Source organism: Homo sapiens, chromosome 15 (genome assembly GCF_000001405.40).
Source record: "Homo sapiens chromosome 15, GRCh38.p14 Primary Assembly".
NCBI classification, from domain to species: Eukaryota; Metazoa; Chordata; class Mammalia; order Primates; family Hominidae; genus Homo; species Homo sapiens.
Window position 1 is genome coordinate 88,915,180 of NC_000015.10, and position 15,585 is coordinate 88,930,764.

The following is a 15,585-nucleotide window of genomic DNA, read 5'->3' on the forward strand; positions in this document are numbered from 1 at the left end:
TGGTGGGTGCCTGTAGTCCCAGCTGCTCAGGAGGCTGAGGCAGGAGAATGGCGTGAGCCCGGGAGGCGGAGCTCGCAGTGAGCCGAGATCGCGCTACTGCACTCCAGCCTGGACAACAGAGCAAGACTCCGTCTTAAAAAAAAAAAAAACATATATATATATATGGGGAAAAGACATATAGGATCAACTCAATAATCACAGAAAAAGCATTTGATAATATCCAACACGTCTTCGTGATAAAACACTCAACAAACTAGAAGTGAAAGGGAGCTTCCTCAACCTGATTTTTAAAAATCTATGAAAAACCGATGGGTACAGTGGCTCACGCCTGCAATCCCAACACTCTGGGAGGCTTAGGCGGGCAGATCAGCTGAGGTCAGCAGTTCGAGACCAGCCTGACCAACATGGTGTAACCTGGTCCCTACTAAAAATACAAAAAGTAACCAGGCATGGTGGTGCACACCTGCAATCCCAGCTACTCAAGAGGCTGAGGCACAAGAATCGCTTGAATCTGGGAGGCGGCAGTTGCAGTGAGCCGAGATTGCACCCCTGCTCTCTAGCCCGGGTGACACAGTAAGACTCTGTCTCAAAAAAAAAAAAAAAAGTGTGTATATATATATATATATGTATATATATATATATGTGTATATATATATGTATATATATATGTGTATATATATGTGTATATATATGTGTATATATATATGTATATATATGTGTATATATATATACATATATATATGTATATATATGTGTATATATATATACATATATATATATATATGTATATATATGAAAAACCCATAGCTACTATCATACTTAATGGTGAAAAACTGAATGTTTCCCCTAAGCTCAGGAATAGGACATGGTGTTCTGCTCTCATCACTTCTATTTCATCACTGTGCTGGAGGTTCCAGCCAGGACAATTACGCAAGAAACAGAAAATACATCCCCATTGGAAAGGAGGCAGTAAAACTATCTCTATCTCTACTTACAGATGGCATGATCTTGTATATCAAAAACCCTAAAGAGCCAGGCGCAGTGGCTCATGCCTGTAATCCCAGCACTTTGGGAGGCTGAGGTGAGCAGATCACCTGAGATCAGGAGTTCAAGACCAGCCTCAACATGGAGAAACCCCGTCTCTACTAAAAATACAAAATTAGCTGAGCGTGGTGGTGCATGCCTGTAATCTCAGCTACTCGGGAGGCTGAGGCAGGAGAATTGCTTGAACCTGGGAGGCGGAGGTTGCGGTGAGCCAAGATCGCGCCATTGCACTCCAGCCTGGGCAACAAAAGCGAAACTCCATCTCAAAAAAAAAAAAAAAAAAACAACCCTAAAGAATCCACATACACACACACACACACACACAAACACACAACTATTAAAGATAATAAATGAGCTAAGCAAGGTTGCAGGATACACAATTAATATACAAAAATCAGTTGTATTTCTTACACTAGAAATAAACAATCCAAAAACATAATTTTTAAAAATCCCATTTACAATAGGATTAAAAAGAATAAAATACTTAGGAATAAATTTAACAAAAGAAATACAAGACATGGCGGGGCACGGTGGTTCATGCCTGTTATCCCAGCACTTTGGGAGGCCAAGGTGGGTGGATCACCTGAGGTCAGGAGTTCAAGACCAGCCTGACCAACATGGCGAAACCCTGTCCCTACTAAAAATACAAAAAGTAGCCAGGTGTGGTGGCTGGCACCTGTAATCCCAGCTACTCGGGAGGCTAAGGCAGGAGAATCGCTTGAACCTGAGAGGCAGAGGTTGCAGTGAGCTGAGATCGTGCCACTGCACTCCAGCCTGGGTGACAGAGAGAGACTTCGTCTCAAAAAAAAAAAAGAAAAAGAAATACAAGTACGTTGAACACTACAAAACATCATCAAAAAAATTAAAGAAGATCTAAACAAATGGAAAATTATCCCCTGTTGATAGGTTGGAAGACTTGTATTGTTAAGATGCCAGTACACCCCCAAATTGATGTACAGACTCAATACAATCTCTGTCAAAATTCCATCTGCCCTTTTTGCGGAAATTGACAAGTTGATACTAAAATTCATACGGAGGCCTGGCGCAGTGGCTCATGCTTGTAATCCCAGCACTTTGGGAGGCCAATGCGGGAGGATCACAAGGTCAGGAGATCGAGTCCATCCTGGCTAACACAGTGAAACCCCGTCTCTACTAAAAATACAAAAAATTAGCCGGGTGTGGTGGTGGCCGCCTGTAGTCCCAGCTACTCGGGAGGCTGAGGCAGGAGAATGGTGTGAACCTGGGAGGCAGAGCTTTCAATGAACCGAGATCACACCACTGCACTCCAGCCTGGGTGACAGAGCGAGACTCTGTCTCAAAAAAAAAAAAAAAAAAATCACACGGAAATGCAAGGGACCCAGAATAGCCAAAACAATCTTGAGGAAAAAAAAAGAACAACATTGAAAGACTAACATTTCTCAATTCCAAAACTTACTACAAAGCTATAATAATCAAGTCTTCTAATTAGAATTTACTGTTCCCAACCTGTCTCTCTTAAATTTGCAGTCTCTCCTATAGTTCTTATCAAACTTTGCCTCATATTGGAATGATGGTCGCAATACCTGTCACTCGATTGTAAGTCCTGGTATATGGAATAATGTCATATGTATTCTTGTCACCCTAGCCCAGCACCTTTTATGTAGAAAGAGATCCATCAGCAGTGTTACTTTCAGTCGCCTCCCTGTGACCAAGCCTTCTCCCAGAGAAGGAAGCTGCCCTGCTCAGGGACATATGACCCATCCCCAAACCACAGGCTCCCTCATGGTCTTCAGGGTTGAGCCAAGAAGGCTCACCAGTCACCCTCTGGGGTTAAATTAATGATACATACATAGTAAACAAATAAAAACACTGGTAAAGCCAGGTGCGATGGCTCACGCCTGTAATCCCAGCACTTTGGGAAGGTAAAACACCATCTCAAAAAACAAACAAACAAAAAATTATGCTAAGTGAAAGAAGCCAGTCACAAAGACCATGTTGTGTATTACTCCTTTTCTATGAAATGTCCAGAAAAGGCAAATCTATAGAGACCAATGTTAGATAAGCAGTTGCCAGGGGCTGGGGTGAGGGGAGAATGAGGAATACTGTTCGTAGATACAGAGTTCCTTTTGGGGGATGATGAAGATGTTTTGAACTTAGTGATAATGGTTGTATGACCTTGTGAGCATACTAGAAACCACTGAACTGTACTTTTTTTTTTTTGAGATGGAGTCTCGCTCTGTCACCCAGGCTGGAGTGCAGTGGCTCAATCTTGGCTCACTGCAACCTCTGCCTCCCAGGTTCAAGCAATTCTTGTGCCTCAGCCTCCCAAGTAGCTGGGGTTACAGACGTGTGCCTCCACACCCAGCTAATTTTTGTATTTTTAGTAGAGACGGGGTTTCCTCATGTTGACCAGGCTGGTCTCGAACTCCCAACCTCACGTGATCCGCTGGCCTCCGCCTCCCAAAGTGCTGGGATTACAGGCATAAGCCACTGTGCCCAGCCTCTGAACTGTACATCTTAAGAGTGTATTTTTGGTTATGTGAATTTTATTTCAATAAAAAATAAATACAACACTTCAGAAATCCATCTCAGATGGCAGGTAGAGAATGCTGCGAGCATAGCACCCTTACCAGTTAATGCCACTTACTCTTGCAGAACGGAACTTCCTAATCGCCCTCACTGGCTTTCTGCCACCCACGTGAAACAACTGCACAGTTACCCAATTAAGACACATTTAATCATTGAGTCATTCAAGAAACATGCATTGAGCACTGACTGTGGTTAGCTTTATGACTGGAAACCTCAGCTGCAGACTAGCCTCACTTGGGAAGATTCTTCAAACACAGATGACCAGGCTCCACCCAGAGGAATCAAATCAGAATCACTGAGGTGGGGCCTGGGCATCAGTGTTTTTTAAGTTCCTCAGATGAGGCTAATGTACAACTAGGATGAGAACTACTGGATAAACCCACTGTGAGAAGAAACGAAAGACCTAGGTTTGGGGACCAGGAGTTTACAAGGGGGTTTAACAGGGGAGGGGAGGCATGGAGAGGAAGGGGATTTTCCTCTATGATTTTATCTTTATAGAGTTCAGTGGGATGGCATCTCCTTGGCTTGAACATTTTTCTTATCCAGTACGAGAGCATCATAGCATTATAGGATTTGGTTAGATTTTCTTTTCTTTTCTTTCTTTTTTTTTTTTTTTTTGAGACAGAGTCTCACTCTGTCACCCAGGCTGGAGTGCAGTGGCTCTCAGCTCACTGTAACCTCCACCTCCTGGGTTCAAGTGATTCTGCTGCCTCAGCCTCCCAAGTAGCTGGGAATATAGACCTGTGCCACTACGCCCAGCTAATTTTTGTATTTTTAATAGACACGGGGTTTTGCCATTTTGGTCATGGCTGGTCTCGAACTCCTGACCTCAAGTGATCCACCCACCTCGGCCTCCCAAAGTGCTGGGATTACAGGCATGAGCCACCACACCTGGCCAGAATTTGGTTAGATTTTCTAACAATAGTATCGTACTGTGATCATATTAAACAGGCAGGCCATTGAAAACTTTCAGGTTTTTGTTATATAAATGGCAGGGAAGGCTGGGCGCAGTGGCTCACACTTATAATCGCAGCACTTTGGGAGGCTGAAGCAGGGGGATTCCTTCAGCCCAAGAGTTTGAGACCAGCCTGGGCAAGCAACATGGTGAAACCGCATCTCTACCAAAAATCAGGCAAGTGCAGTGGTTTGCGCCTGTGGTCCCAGCTACTGGAGAGATTGAGGTGGGAGGACTGCTTGAGCCGGGGAGGCGGAGGTTACAGTGAGCCAAGATTACACCACTGCACTCCAGTTTAGGTGACAGAGTGAGACCCTGTCTCAAAAAAGAAAAGAAAAGAAAAAAGCAGGGAAACCAGAGATACCTTCACTCTTTAGCTAGTCCCCGCTACCGCCCCCAACACACACACGCACAGAACATATTCTGTTTTCCAGAGACTTAACAAAAATCAATTAAACTGATAAAACTTAGTCAATGAATGGGGCTATGGGGAAAATAAATACATTTATGCCTAATTGACGGAACTATAAGTTGGTTCAGTGTTTCTGGATCACAGTCTGTAACAAAAGCTACAAAACTCGACCAGGTGAAACCGCCTTTGCAAAATTATGACTCAGACAGTGAAAGAGATCTAACTTAACTGACTCCATCTTGCTTCTTCTAACCTCCAAGCTGTCCTTGTTCATCCCTGTGCGTAGGCGGAACTAACTTTGGGAGAAACGTAGTTTATAGTTTAAACAAAGACAGTAACAGCACTTTCCCAAAGCAGACCTCATTCTTGTCTGGGGACTAGATCGCCTTTTTAGGACTAAGATTAGCCACAATATTAGAAATTATGGTTTAGGAGTCATGCAGTTGGAGGCTACAAGATTCTGACCCTCCCTAAACTGCTCCCAAGATCAGTGCTTGAGATACTTTGCAGATCCTGCACTGGATGTGATCAGCTGGCACCACCCAGGTCAATAAACTCGCTCATCCGATCCTGTGGCCCCCACCCAGGAACTGACTCAGCACAAGAAGCAGCTGCAACTCCCTATGATTTCATCCCTGGCCAATCAGCACTCCTGGCTCACTGGCTTCCCCCCACCCACCAAGTTATCCTTAAAAACTCTGCCCCCTGATCCAGGCATGGTGGCTCACACCTGTAATCCCAGCACTTTGGGAGGCCGAGGCAGGCAGATCACGAGGTCAGGAGATCGAGACCATCCTCGCCAGCGTAGTGAAACCCTGTCTCTACTAAAAATACAAAAAAAAAAAAAAAAAAAATTAGCTGGGCACTGTGGCATGTGCCTGTAATCCCAGCTACACGGGAGGCTGAAGCAGGAGAATAGCTTGAACCAGGGAGTCAGAGGTTTCAGTGAGCCAAGATCGCACCACAGCACTCCAGCCTGGTGACAGAGCAAGGCTCCGTCTCAAAAAAAAAAAAAAAAAAAAAACACCTCTGCTCCCTGAATGCTCAGGGAGACTGATTTGAGTCATACTAAAACTCCGCTCTCCTGCACAGCCAGCTCTGCATGAATTACTCATTCTCTGGTACTCTCTCTACTGGCGGGGTGCTGCCGACCTAATGTGCATGGGTTTAGTTGCAATGGAGAAATAGTCCTGGGGAGATGTCCTTTAACTGTAGCCCTATCACAGGGTGTCTTTCTGTAGCCCCATGGTGGGGTGTCTGGACTGGCGAGTATCCTAGGCGCTACCAATGCCTCCTTCCTTTTCCCGACTGGTTCTGTAGCCCTATGGGGGTTGTCCGTAGCTCCACCATGGGGTGTCTGTGTCTGTAGCCCCATTGCAGGGTGTCTGTTCGGCTCCTGGGTGGTCTCAGTTGGCTTTTTCTAACTAGTAGGAAGAGTCCTGGTTTGAGAGACTTCTCAATCAGGAAGATTTCAAGGAGGTTTCTCAGATGGAGAATAGGAGGATAGTTTGGAAGGGATACTCTTGGAGTTCTCGGTTAGCAATATGATTTGGAAGGCCTTCCGTCCATCTCATCTTTGTGTATGTTTGTAAATGTGGAAGGGATCTCAAAAGGAATTGATGATGGAAGGGGCCTAACTCAGAGAACCCCACTTATTTGTCTGGTCACATTCCATGAGCCCTAAAGAAGGCTCAACAGACCTGTCTCTTGAGGTGACTATCTGCTCTTTGCCTTGCCCAGAGATCCCATTGTGAATTACCATTCAGAGGTCATCCCTTCCCACCTGGAATGGATCAAAGACAACAGGGATCAATGGGGAAAAAGTTTGAGCTTTGCCAGGTTGATATTGGGTGCTGAACGAGGTGACTACTGTTCATTTTATTAGGTGTGTTTTGCTGGGATGGAAAATGTTAATTCCATTCCCCGTGCAGCCTGTTGGGCAGCATCTTGCAAATTAAGAATCTTGCCTATGGTTCCATAAAACGGTGAATGGTGATTTTCTCTTGAACCCCACAGCTATGGCACAGTGAGCAGGATCATCAGAAGCCGCTCCGTTGAGAAAGAGAGTCCAGAAACCTGGTATGCTGGCAAAACAGGGTAAGAAATTCTTACCAGCCAAGTTTCTGGTCTCTCTCTGTTTCTCTGTCTGGGTAAATGGTAAACATCACTATTTGTCTCTCTGCAAGGGTCTGATTAATAGAAAAAGGATTTGTGAGACTAGTCTTAGGCAGTAGCAAATCTGGTGTACTTTGTGCTAAGAATTTGTCTTTCTGTGTTCTGTAACGGAGAGAGGGGCATCACAGGATAGAATGTGAGTTTAGGACGTCTATCAGCCCGCTTTTCAAGCCAGACAAAAGCAGGTCAGTTACAAACTTTGCTACGGACGGGTCTCTGAAACCAATACTGTATGAAATTTCTGTCTTGTATAGGCCGGGTGCGGTGGCTCATGTCTGTAATCCCAGCACTTTGGGAGGCCAAGGCGGGTGGATCGCAAGATCAGGAGTTCAAGACTAGTCTAGCCAACATAGCGAAACCCTGTCTCTACTAAAAATACAAAAAATTAGCCGGGCATGGTGGCAGGTACCTATAATCCCAGCTACTTGGGAGGCTGAGGCAGGAGAATCGCTTGAACCCAGGAGGTGGAGGTTGCAGTGAGCGGAGATCAGGCCACTGCACTCCAGCCTGGGTGACAGTGCAAGACTCTGTCTCAAAAAAAAAAAAAGAAAGAAAGAAAGAAAGAAATGTCTGTCTTGTGTCCTTAAGAGCTTAATTTAACCTTGTGACCATGTAGGTATACTTTCTCTTGGCTCCCACTCCCACCATCGAGAGGACAGGAATTTTGAGGTTCATGTCATAGTTAGCCCTAAAAATTATCTTGAGCGGTTAAAAGCCTTTGCAAGCTTGAAATTGACTTCTCTAGGATCCTTTTGGGAAAAGCAATAGAAATTGCTCATTGCTCTAACTCAGGAGCTAAGGCTTTGCTTTTTGACAATGGCAGCCTGGGTTCTATTCTTGCCTTCCAGAATGATTCTTTTCTGGTTTTTTATTTATGTTACTTTGCCATTTACTGAGGTTTCCCTCCACCCCATGGATAGCTTCTGATTCCCTGTCTTGAATTTTTTTTTCTCTAAACTACCCTGGGGGAGATTCTAAATTTTGTAAAAACAAAAAAAAAAAGAAGGAAAAGGAAAAGAAACTGCTTACCATCCCTTTGAGACACCTATGTGTCATGGTTAAGTTGTAACCTTAGTTAAAACGGGTTAATTTCATGTGGGAAGTTACCTGTGATAGACTTCAAGAGCCAAAAATATCGGCCGCTTGGCATGGCTAAAGTCAGGTAATAAAAAAATTTTAAAGGATTTTTTTTGTAAGAGTGCTATGGCTAAAAGTCAGCTTAATTAAAAGTGGATAAACAAGCTCTAAGTATATTTAAAGGCCTTTATGTTTTTCTCTTCTTGGAACTTGTTTTTCTGGAAAAAGATTTTTTCTTCTCAGTCGACTGAATTATTTTTCTCAATTTTTTTTTTGTCTTGCCACTCTTAATGCATACATGAGAGGCCCTAAGATAACTTCTGCTAGTCTGGGACTCATTGGGGAAAAACAGAGGAGGCACCACAGACCCCATTTTGGGAAAACAAAACAAAACAAAACAAAAACAAAAAAAACTTCTGTTTTCCTCATGAAACCCAGGAAGCAAAAGCAGATAGATCTCTCTCAAAATCAAAGGCTCTGTTCTGTTTTGCATTGTGTTATCTGACAGTTTTGAGTTTGGGGGATATCAGAAATTACTTCGCATTATGAGAGAGCTTTGGTGTGTAATAACTAAGTAGGAAATATACTGTAAGGATGGCTAATAGTAGTTACGGAGGAATACTTGACTCTGCACACTTGGATCAGAGAAGCGTGCTCTTGGCCGCCTGGAAGATAAGAAAACATCCCCACCCCTGACTGAGAGATGAGACTCCCATGAGGGATGTGCTGATGACAAAATGGGCTCATTGGCTTTGGGTTGCCTTGTAATGAAATGCAGGGTAGAAGCACTGCACTGTCAGCCAGGCACATTGGCTTATGACTGTAATCCCAGCACTTTGGGAGGCCGAGGTGGGTGGGTCACCTGAGGTCAGGAGTTCACAACATGGTGAAACCCCGTCTCTACTAAAAATACAAAAATTAGCCGGGCGTGGTGGCGGGCGCCTGTAATCCCAGCTACTCAGGAGGCTGAGGCAGGAGAATCGCTTGAACTCAGGAGGTGGAGGTTGCAGTGAGTGGAGATCTTGCCACCGCACTCCAGCCTGGATGACAAGAACAAAACTCCATCTCAAAAAAAGAAGCACTGCATGGTCTTCTCCCATAGTATTTCCCTCCTTTTGGGGATCGAAGGTCCAGTATAAAATGGCACCCTTAATTCTGGGGATCTGTCTTTGTCTTCAGCTACTTATTTGCTGCTTGTTTGGCCCTAGAAACGCATGCTTTCCTGGCCCTGTTCCTCCACAGCCTCCACCCTGAAGCCAGTAATCCAATTAAGAAACTGGCAAATGAAAAATCTTACAAGTGCCGTATCTTCTGTCTGTATTTATATGTGTTGTCTGTGAGGTTTATATGTAAAAGAGCTCTGATGAATTGGCTTAGAAAAATAAGGGCTTAAATATTTTGTCACAAAAATGGAAACTTTAATGCCTTTTTGTTCATGTGATGTTAGTAACCTTTTGGAAATAAAGACAGTTTTAAAGATTATTGGTAATATCTGTAATCTCAGGACTTCGGGAGGCTGAGATGGGCGGATCACAAGGTCAGGGATTCGAGACCAGCATGGCCAACATGGTGAAACCCCATCTTGTTGGGAACAAGCCCCCCAAAATCTGGCCATAAACTGGCCATAAACAAAATCTCTGCAGCACTGTGACATGTTCATGATGGCCATAAAGCCCACGCTGGAAGGTTGTGGGTTTACTGGAATGAGGGCAAGGAACACCTGGCCCGCCCAGGGCGGAAAACCGCTTAAAGGCATTCTTAAGCCACAAACAATAGCATGAGTGATCTGTGCCTTAAGGACATGCACCTGCTGCAGTTAACTAGCCCAAACTATTCCTTTAATTTGGCCCATCCATTCGTTTCCCATAAGGGATACTGTTAGTTAATTTAATATCTATAGAAACAATGCTAATGACTGGCTTGCTGTTAATAAACACGTGGGTAAATCTCTCTGTTCGGGACTCTCAGCTCTGAAGGCTGTGAGACCCCTGATTTCCCACTTCACACCTCTATATTTCTGTGTGTGTGTCTTTAATTTCTCTAGCACCTCTGGGTTAGGGTCTCCCCAGCCAAGCTGGTCTCAGCACCATCTCTACTAAAGATAAAAAAATTAGCCGGGCATGGTGGTGCATGCCTGTAATCCCAGCTACTCGGGAGGTGAAGGTTGTAGTGAGCCAAGATTATGCCATTGCACTCTAGCCTGGGCCACAAGCCAAGACTCCATCTCAAAAAAAAAAAAGATTATTCGTAAAATAAAAGGTCTTGAAAACGTAGATATTTGGTCTAAATTAAGGTCAGATATCAGATTTGCTAAATGCTTTAAGGTCAAACTGTTTCTTTGACTTTTGAAAATTGTTCAATTTACCTACTTTGGAGCATTAGGTGATAGATAAGGCCTGGGGACATGTGGAGAGCCATGCCTGCTAGCTATGCTAAAGAGTCAGGCCTTATTTTCATTTCTGTCTGATGTCCTAGGCTCCACCCCAGTACATAATTAAAATTGCTTACTTATCAAGCTTCTGACTAAAAATAAAAGTTGCTAAGAGTTAACATTGTAACATGTAATTGAGACCACTGGAGAAACAGTTTTACATACAAGGTGTGTAGGAAATGTGTTTTTGGTAAAAGATTATAAGAAGGTATGGGAATATGGCTTTGTTAAAGGGAATGTAATTTTGTCTAGTTCAGAGGGTTTTAAAGATTGTCTTGTAGGGTGCAGTGGCTCATGCCTGTAATCCCAGCACTTTGGGAGGCCTAGGTGGGCAGATCACCTGAGGTCAGGAGTTCAAGACCAGCCTAACCAACATGGAGAAACCCCATCTCTACTAAAAACACAAAATTAGCTGACCATGGTGGCACATGCCTGTAATCCCAGCTACTTGGTAGGCTGAGGCAGGAGAATCACTTGAACCTGGGAGGTGGAGGTTGTGGTGAGCTAAGATCACGCCACTGCACTCCAGCCTGAGCAACAAGAGCAAAACTTTATCTCAAAAAATATATAAAATAAAATAAAGATTGTCTTAACCTAAAAGAGTAATGGAACAAAACTGAAGGTTTACGCAAAGTGAAAGGGTTAGTAAATGGTTAATCTTATAAAAAAAATTCTGTGGGTATAAACAAGTTGGCTGAGATTTAAAAGAAATTATTTAGCTTTTTTTCTATAGGTTAAAACTTTAAAATGATACTGTTTTGGGACCAGAATTTGGGCCCATGTGTCTGAATAACACAGTTTTCTTAGAAAATTGATCTGCTGTTTGATGGAAAATTGTAAAGGGTTCTAGAAAACCTTACCTTATGGTCAAACTAATTACAACTGAATAGAGATATAAAATTTTATTTAGGAAACTAGCCTTAACATTAAAGATGCACTAAAGCAAACATGAAATTTGGTTTTCTCTTTTGAAAATGATTTTTATGTAATGATAAAAGATAATGAAATGGTTTTGTTTTCTCCTTTGGGTAAATGGCAGGGAAAAAAGGGAAAAGAGAGAAGAGACAAATTTAGTTAGCCTCATACTATCTTTATTGGGTCTTGTTTGGAAAGCTAAGTCTCCTCTCTCAGAGTAAAGGCTTTCTTTTTAAAACTTCTTTTTGGAGTTATCATTTTGGGCAAATGAATAACTTATAGTGACCTGGGATTCTCTTTTGTGATATCCAGTGTTTTAAGCCTTTGATATTTAACAAACTTTCCAAAATCAAATTATAGATTATGTCTCTTTGTAGCCCAGTATTTTAGATATTAGGTCCTCTAAAGTCCAAAAATGACATTTGGCTTATTTGGTACAAAAATCATACAGGAAGCATTGTCAAATATGAAATGGTGTTTGGCTTTCTTTGGTCTATATTTGTGTAAATGTGTTGTTGGTATATGTTCCAAAATTATGTAAAACTGCTGTAACTCAAATATGACTTAGTATGTTTTATCAGTAATAATTATAATTATTATGTTAAATGACTGTGTGCCACAGAGGTAAATTTCCTTGTCAATTTTGCCTTTAACTGTGGTGCCCTAAAATGTTTTTGTCATCCCAGACAATTGTTATCTCACTTTGGTCCTCTTTAAAAGATGATTTTATAGTCAACTGTAAAATTTAACAGGTGCTCCTAAATGCAGATTTCTGATGAATAACTCTGGGAGATTGTGACATTAGAATAGAAAAAAACCCTTCAAATAGAAGAGTGAATGGTGTTTCGTTTTCTTTGGACTGTGTTTGTTTAAATATGTTATTGGTATGTGTTCCAAAATTATGGGAAACTTCTATAATGTTGAGATAATTTAGCATACATTATCAATAATTATAATTGTTATGTAAAATTGTTGTATGCCACAGAAGTAACCAAAATTCCTAGTCAATTGTAGCTTTAATAGTGGCTATAGACTTTTGTCATCCACAGATCTTTTGTCTTACTTTGGTCCTCTTCTTTACTTCTTTTTTTTTTTTTTTTTTTTTTTTTTGAGACAGAGTCTCACTCTGTCGCCCAGGCTGGAAGGCAGTGGTGCAATCTTGGCACGCTGCAACCTCCGCCTCCCGGGTTCAAGCAATTCTCTGCCTCAGCCTCCCAAGTAGCTGGGATTACAGATGCCCGCTACCAAGCCTGGCTAATTTTTTGTATATTTAGTAGAGACGGGGTTTCACCATCTTGGCCATGCTGGTCTTGAACTCCAGAAATCATGATCCACATTCCTCAGCCTCCCAAAGTGCTGGGATTACAGGCATGAGCCACCGCACCGAGCCTACTTTAGTCCTTTTCAAAACACAGTTTATAATCAGATATAGGACTCTCAGTGCAGGTCTCAGATAAGTTTAAAAATTGTGCTATTGGAATAGAGGAAGAAAACAAACTTCTAGGACTCTCAGGGAGAGCTAATGTGTTAAATATTGCTAAACCTTTTGTTTTCAGAGTCAAGAGAACTTATTTCTTTAGAGCTATTTGCAACTTTCAACAACTGAGTAAAATATACTCCTGTGAACAAAATTTGGAGCATATTTATTCCTCTCTACTTTATTTCTCCAGAATTTGGAAACTATTTGTGAGTATTCTCAATTTATGGCAGCATAGTTAATTGCATAAGTGCAATAAGAATCTGTTTTCTTTTGTAACAGGACACAATTGGAGAAATTGGTTATTTTATGAAGGCTTTGACTGGAATGGCATGCTTCTTTTAAGGAATCAAAGTTGACTTATAAAGCCAATTAAAGCCCATTAGGGCATCTGGCCTCATGCCCTGTCCACAATAGAGTCCCTGTGCAGGGTTCCTGACCTGTGATAAGTAAAGAATGTCACTTTCTAACTGGCCCAGGAACCCCAAGTTACCTTGGGACCCCAAGAGGAGAGGAATTTGCCCAACTCATAGGTATTTGAGGGTACAAACCCATGGCTGGGCTCGGCTATTAAAAAGTCTTATCTGAGATTCCTCATGGAACAGAGTTCTATTAAAGCCAATTTTTAAAAGCCTAAGTGGAAAATAATTATTTTTGCTTCACTTTATGTAAATAATCAGGCTGAGTACAGTAAGGCTAAAGTTTATTTTATAAACAAATCAGTTCCATCATAATAGGTTTTTAATAAAAATGGGGACTGGAGAGAGAAAAATTATGCTTCAGAAGAAAAACTATAGTACACTGTTAGCTGTTCTTGAGGTTTTTCCTGCAGTTTAGACTAAATTCTAAATTCTTTATGGGTTAGAAGTCCCCAAACTAACGTTTTCAAATCTTTGCTTTTAAAATTTAGAATTGTACTCTTCATCCTAGGACTTATTATTTACCTTACAGTAGGCTGTTCACTTAAACACTGTAGTAAAACTATAGATGAGAGTACTAATGTTTTTGCCACGCAAGCCTCAGAAGCTCAACCAGGCCTGCATGAGTATACTCAGACAATTGCAAAGTAGTTCCATTCTTCTCACCTTGGGGTTCACTCCCATTCCCACTACATTCCCTGTCAGCAGAAAGAAGCCAGAGTGATCAACGGCCTTTTCCCATCTTCATAGCCTACACCTTAAGATTAAGGTGTTATAAAACCAAAGGGAGGGATGGAAACCACCTTTGCAAAATTATGACTGAGACAGTGGAAGAGATCTAACTTCACTGACTCCATCTTACTTCTAACCTCCAGGCTGTCCTTGTTCGTTCCTGGGCATAGGCTGAACTAACTTTGGGAGAAACTTAGTTTATAGTTTAAGCAAAGACAGTAACAGCCCTTTCCCAAAGCAGACCTCATTCTTGCCTGGGACTAGATTGCCTTTGTAGGATTAACATTAGCCACAAGATTTGAAATTATGGTTAAGGAGTCATGCAGCTGGAGGCTACAAGATTCTGACCCTCCCTAAACTGCTCCTAAGATCAGTGCTTGAGATATTTTGCAGACCCTGCACTGGATGGATCAGCTGGCACCACCCAGATCAATAAACTGGCTCATCTGATCTTCTGGCTCCCACCCAGGAACTGACTCAGCACAAGAAGACAGCCACAACTCCCTATGATTTCATCCCTGGCCAATCAGCATTCCTGGTTCACTGGCATCCCCCCACCCACCAAGTTATCCTTAAAAACACTGTTCCCTGAATGCTTGGGAAGACTGATTTGAGTGATAATAAAACTCCGGTCTCCAGCACAGCTGGCTCTGCAGGAATTACTCTTTAGCTATTGCAATTCCCCTTTCTTGATGAATTGGCTCTGTCTAGGCAGTGGGCAAGGTGAACCTCTTGGGCAGTTACACAAGTATTCAGCTTTGGACAAATATGCTGAAAGAAAATTACCCAAATAAAAAGGAATATAGAAAGATGCGGCCGGGTGCAGTGGCTCATGCCTGTAATCCCAGCACTTTGGGAAGCTGAGGCAGGTAGATCATTTGAGGTCAGGAGTTCGAGACCAGCCTGGCCAACATGGTGAAATCCTGTCTCTACTAAAACTACAAAAATTAACCAGACATGCTTGCTTGAACCCAGGAGGCAGAGGTTGCCATGAGCCGAGATAGTGCCACTGCACTCCAGCCTGGGCAACAGAGCAAAACTCCGTCTCAAAAAAATAAAAAATAAAAATAAAAACAAAAAAACGCCTTGAGAAAGGCACAAGCCTGGCTGATTGATCAAGAGAATGAGGGCAGGAGAGTAGAACCCAAGAGGCATGGAGTCAGACAAGGGCCAGCCCTGGCAGGACTTTGTCAGCCTGGGTTTGAAGGCTGGTTTTGCCATATACCAAGTAGGTGATCTTAGGCAAGTTCCTCAATCTCTGCCTGAGCCTCAGTTTCCTAACCTGTAACATGGAGTAATAATAACGCCTATCTGGTTATTTCTAGCCTAGGCCTGTAACATTCTTGTACATGTCTTTTGGTGAGCATATGCCTACATATC

General features: G+C 42.4%; 3 annotated features.

Annotated features, from left to right (window-relative positions):
- Positions 2,647 to 2,880: a transcriptional cis regulatory region, noted in NCBI's record as "candidate enhancer chr15.3122 targeted for multiplex CRISPR interference". NCBI's record gives its function as "positively regulates MFGE8 gene expression with high confidence in K562 cells {active_cell/tissue: K562}" and the evidence as "EXISTENCE:mutant phenotype evidence [ECO:0000015][PMID:30612741]".
- Positions 3,044 to 3,164: a transcriptional cis regulatory region, noted in NCBI's record as "candidate enhancer chr15.3123 targeted for multiplex CRISPR interference". NCBI's record gives its function as "positively regulates MFGE8 gene expression with high confidence in K562 cells {active_cell/tissue: K562}" and the evidence as "EXISTENCE:mutant phenotype evidence [ECO:0000015][PMID:30612741]".
- Positions 5,431 to 5,696: a transcriptional cis regulatory region, noted in NCBI's record as "candidate enhancer chr15.3124 targeted for multiplex CRISPR interference". NCBI's record gives its function as "positively regulates MFGE8 gene expression in K562 cells {active_cell/tissue: K562}" and the evidence as "EXISTENCE:mutant phenotype evidence [ECO:0000015][PMID:30612741]".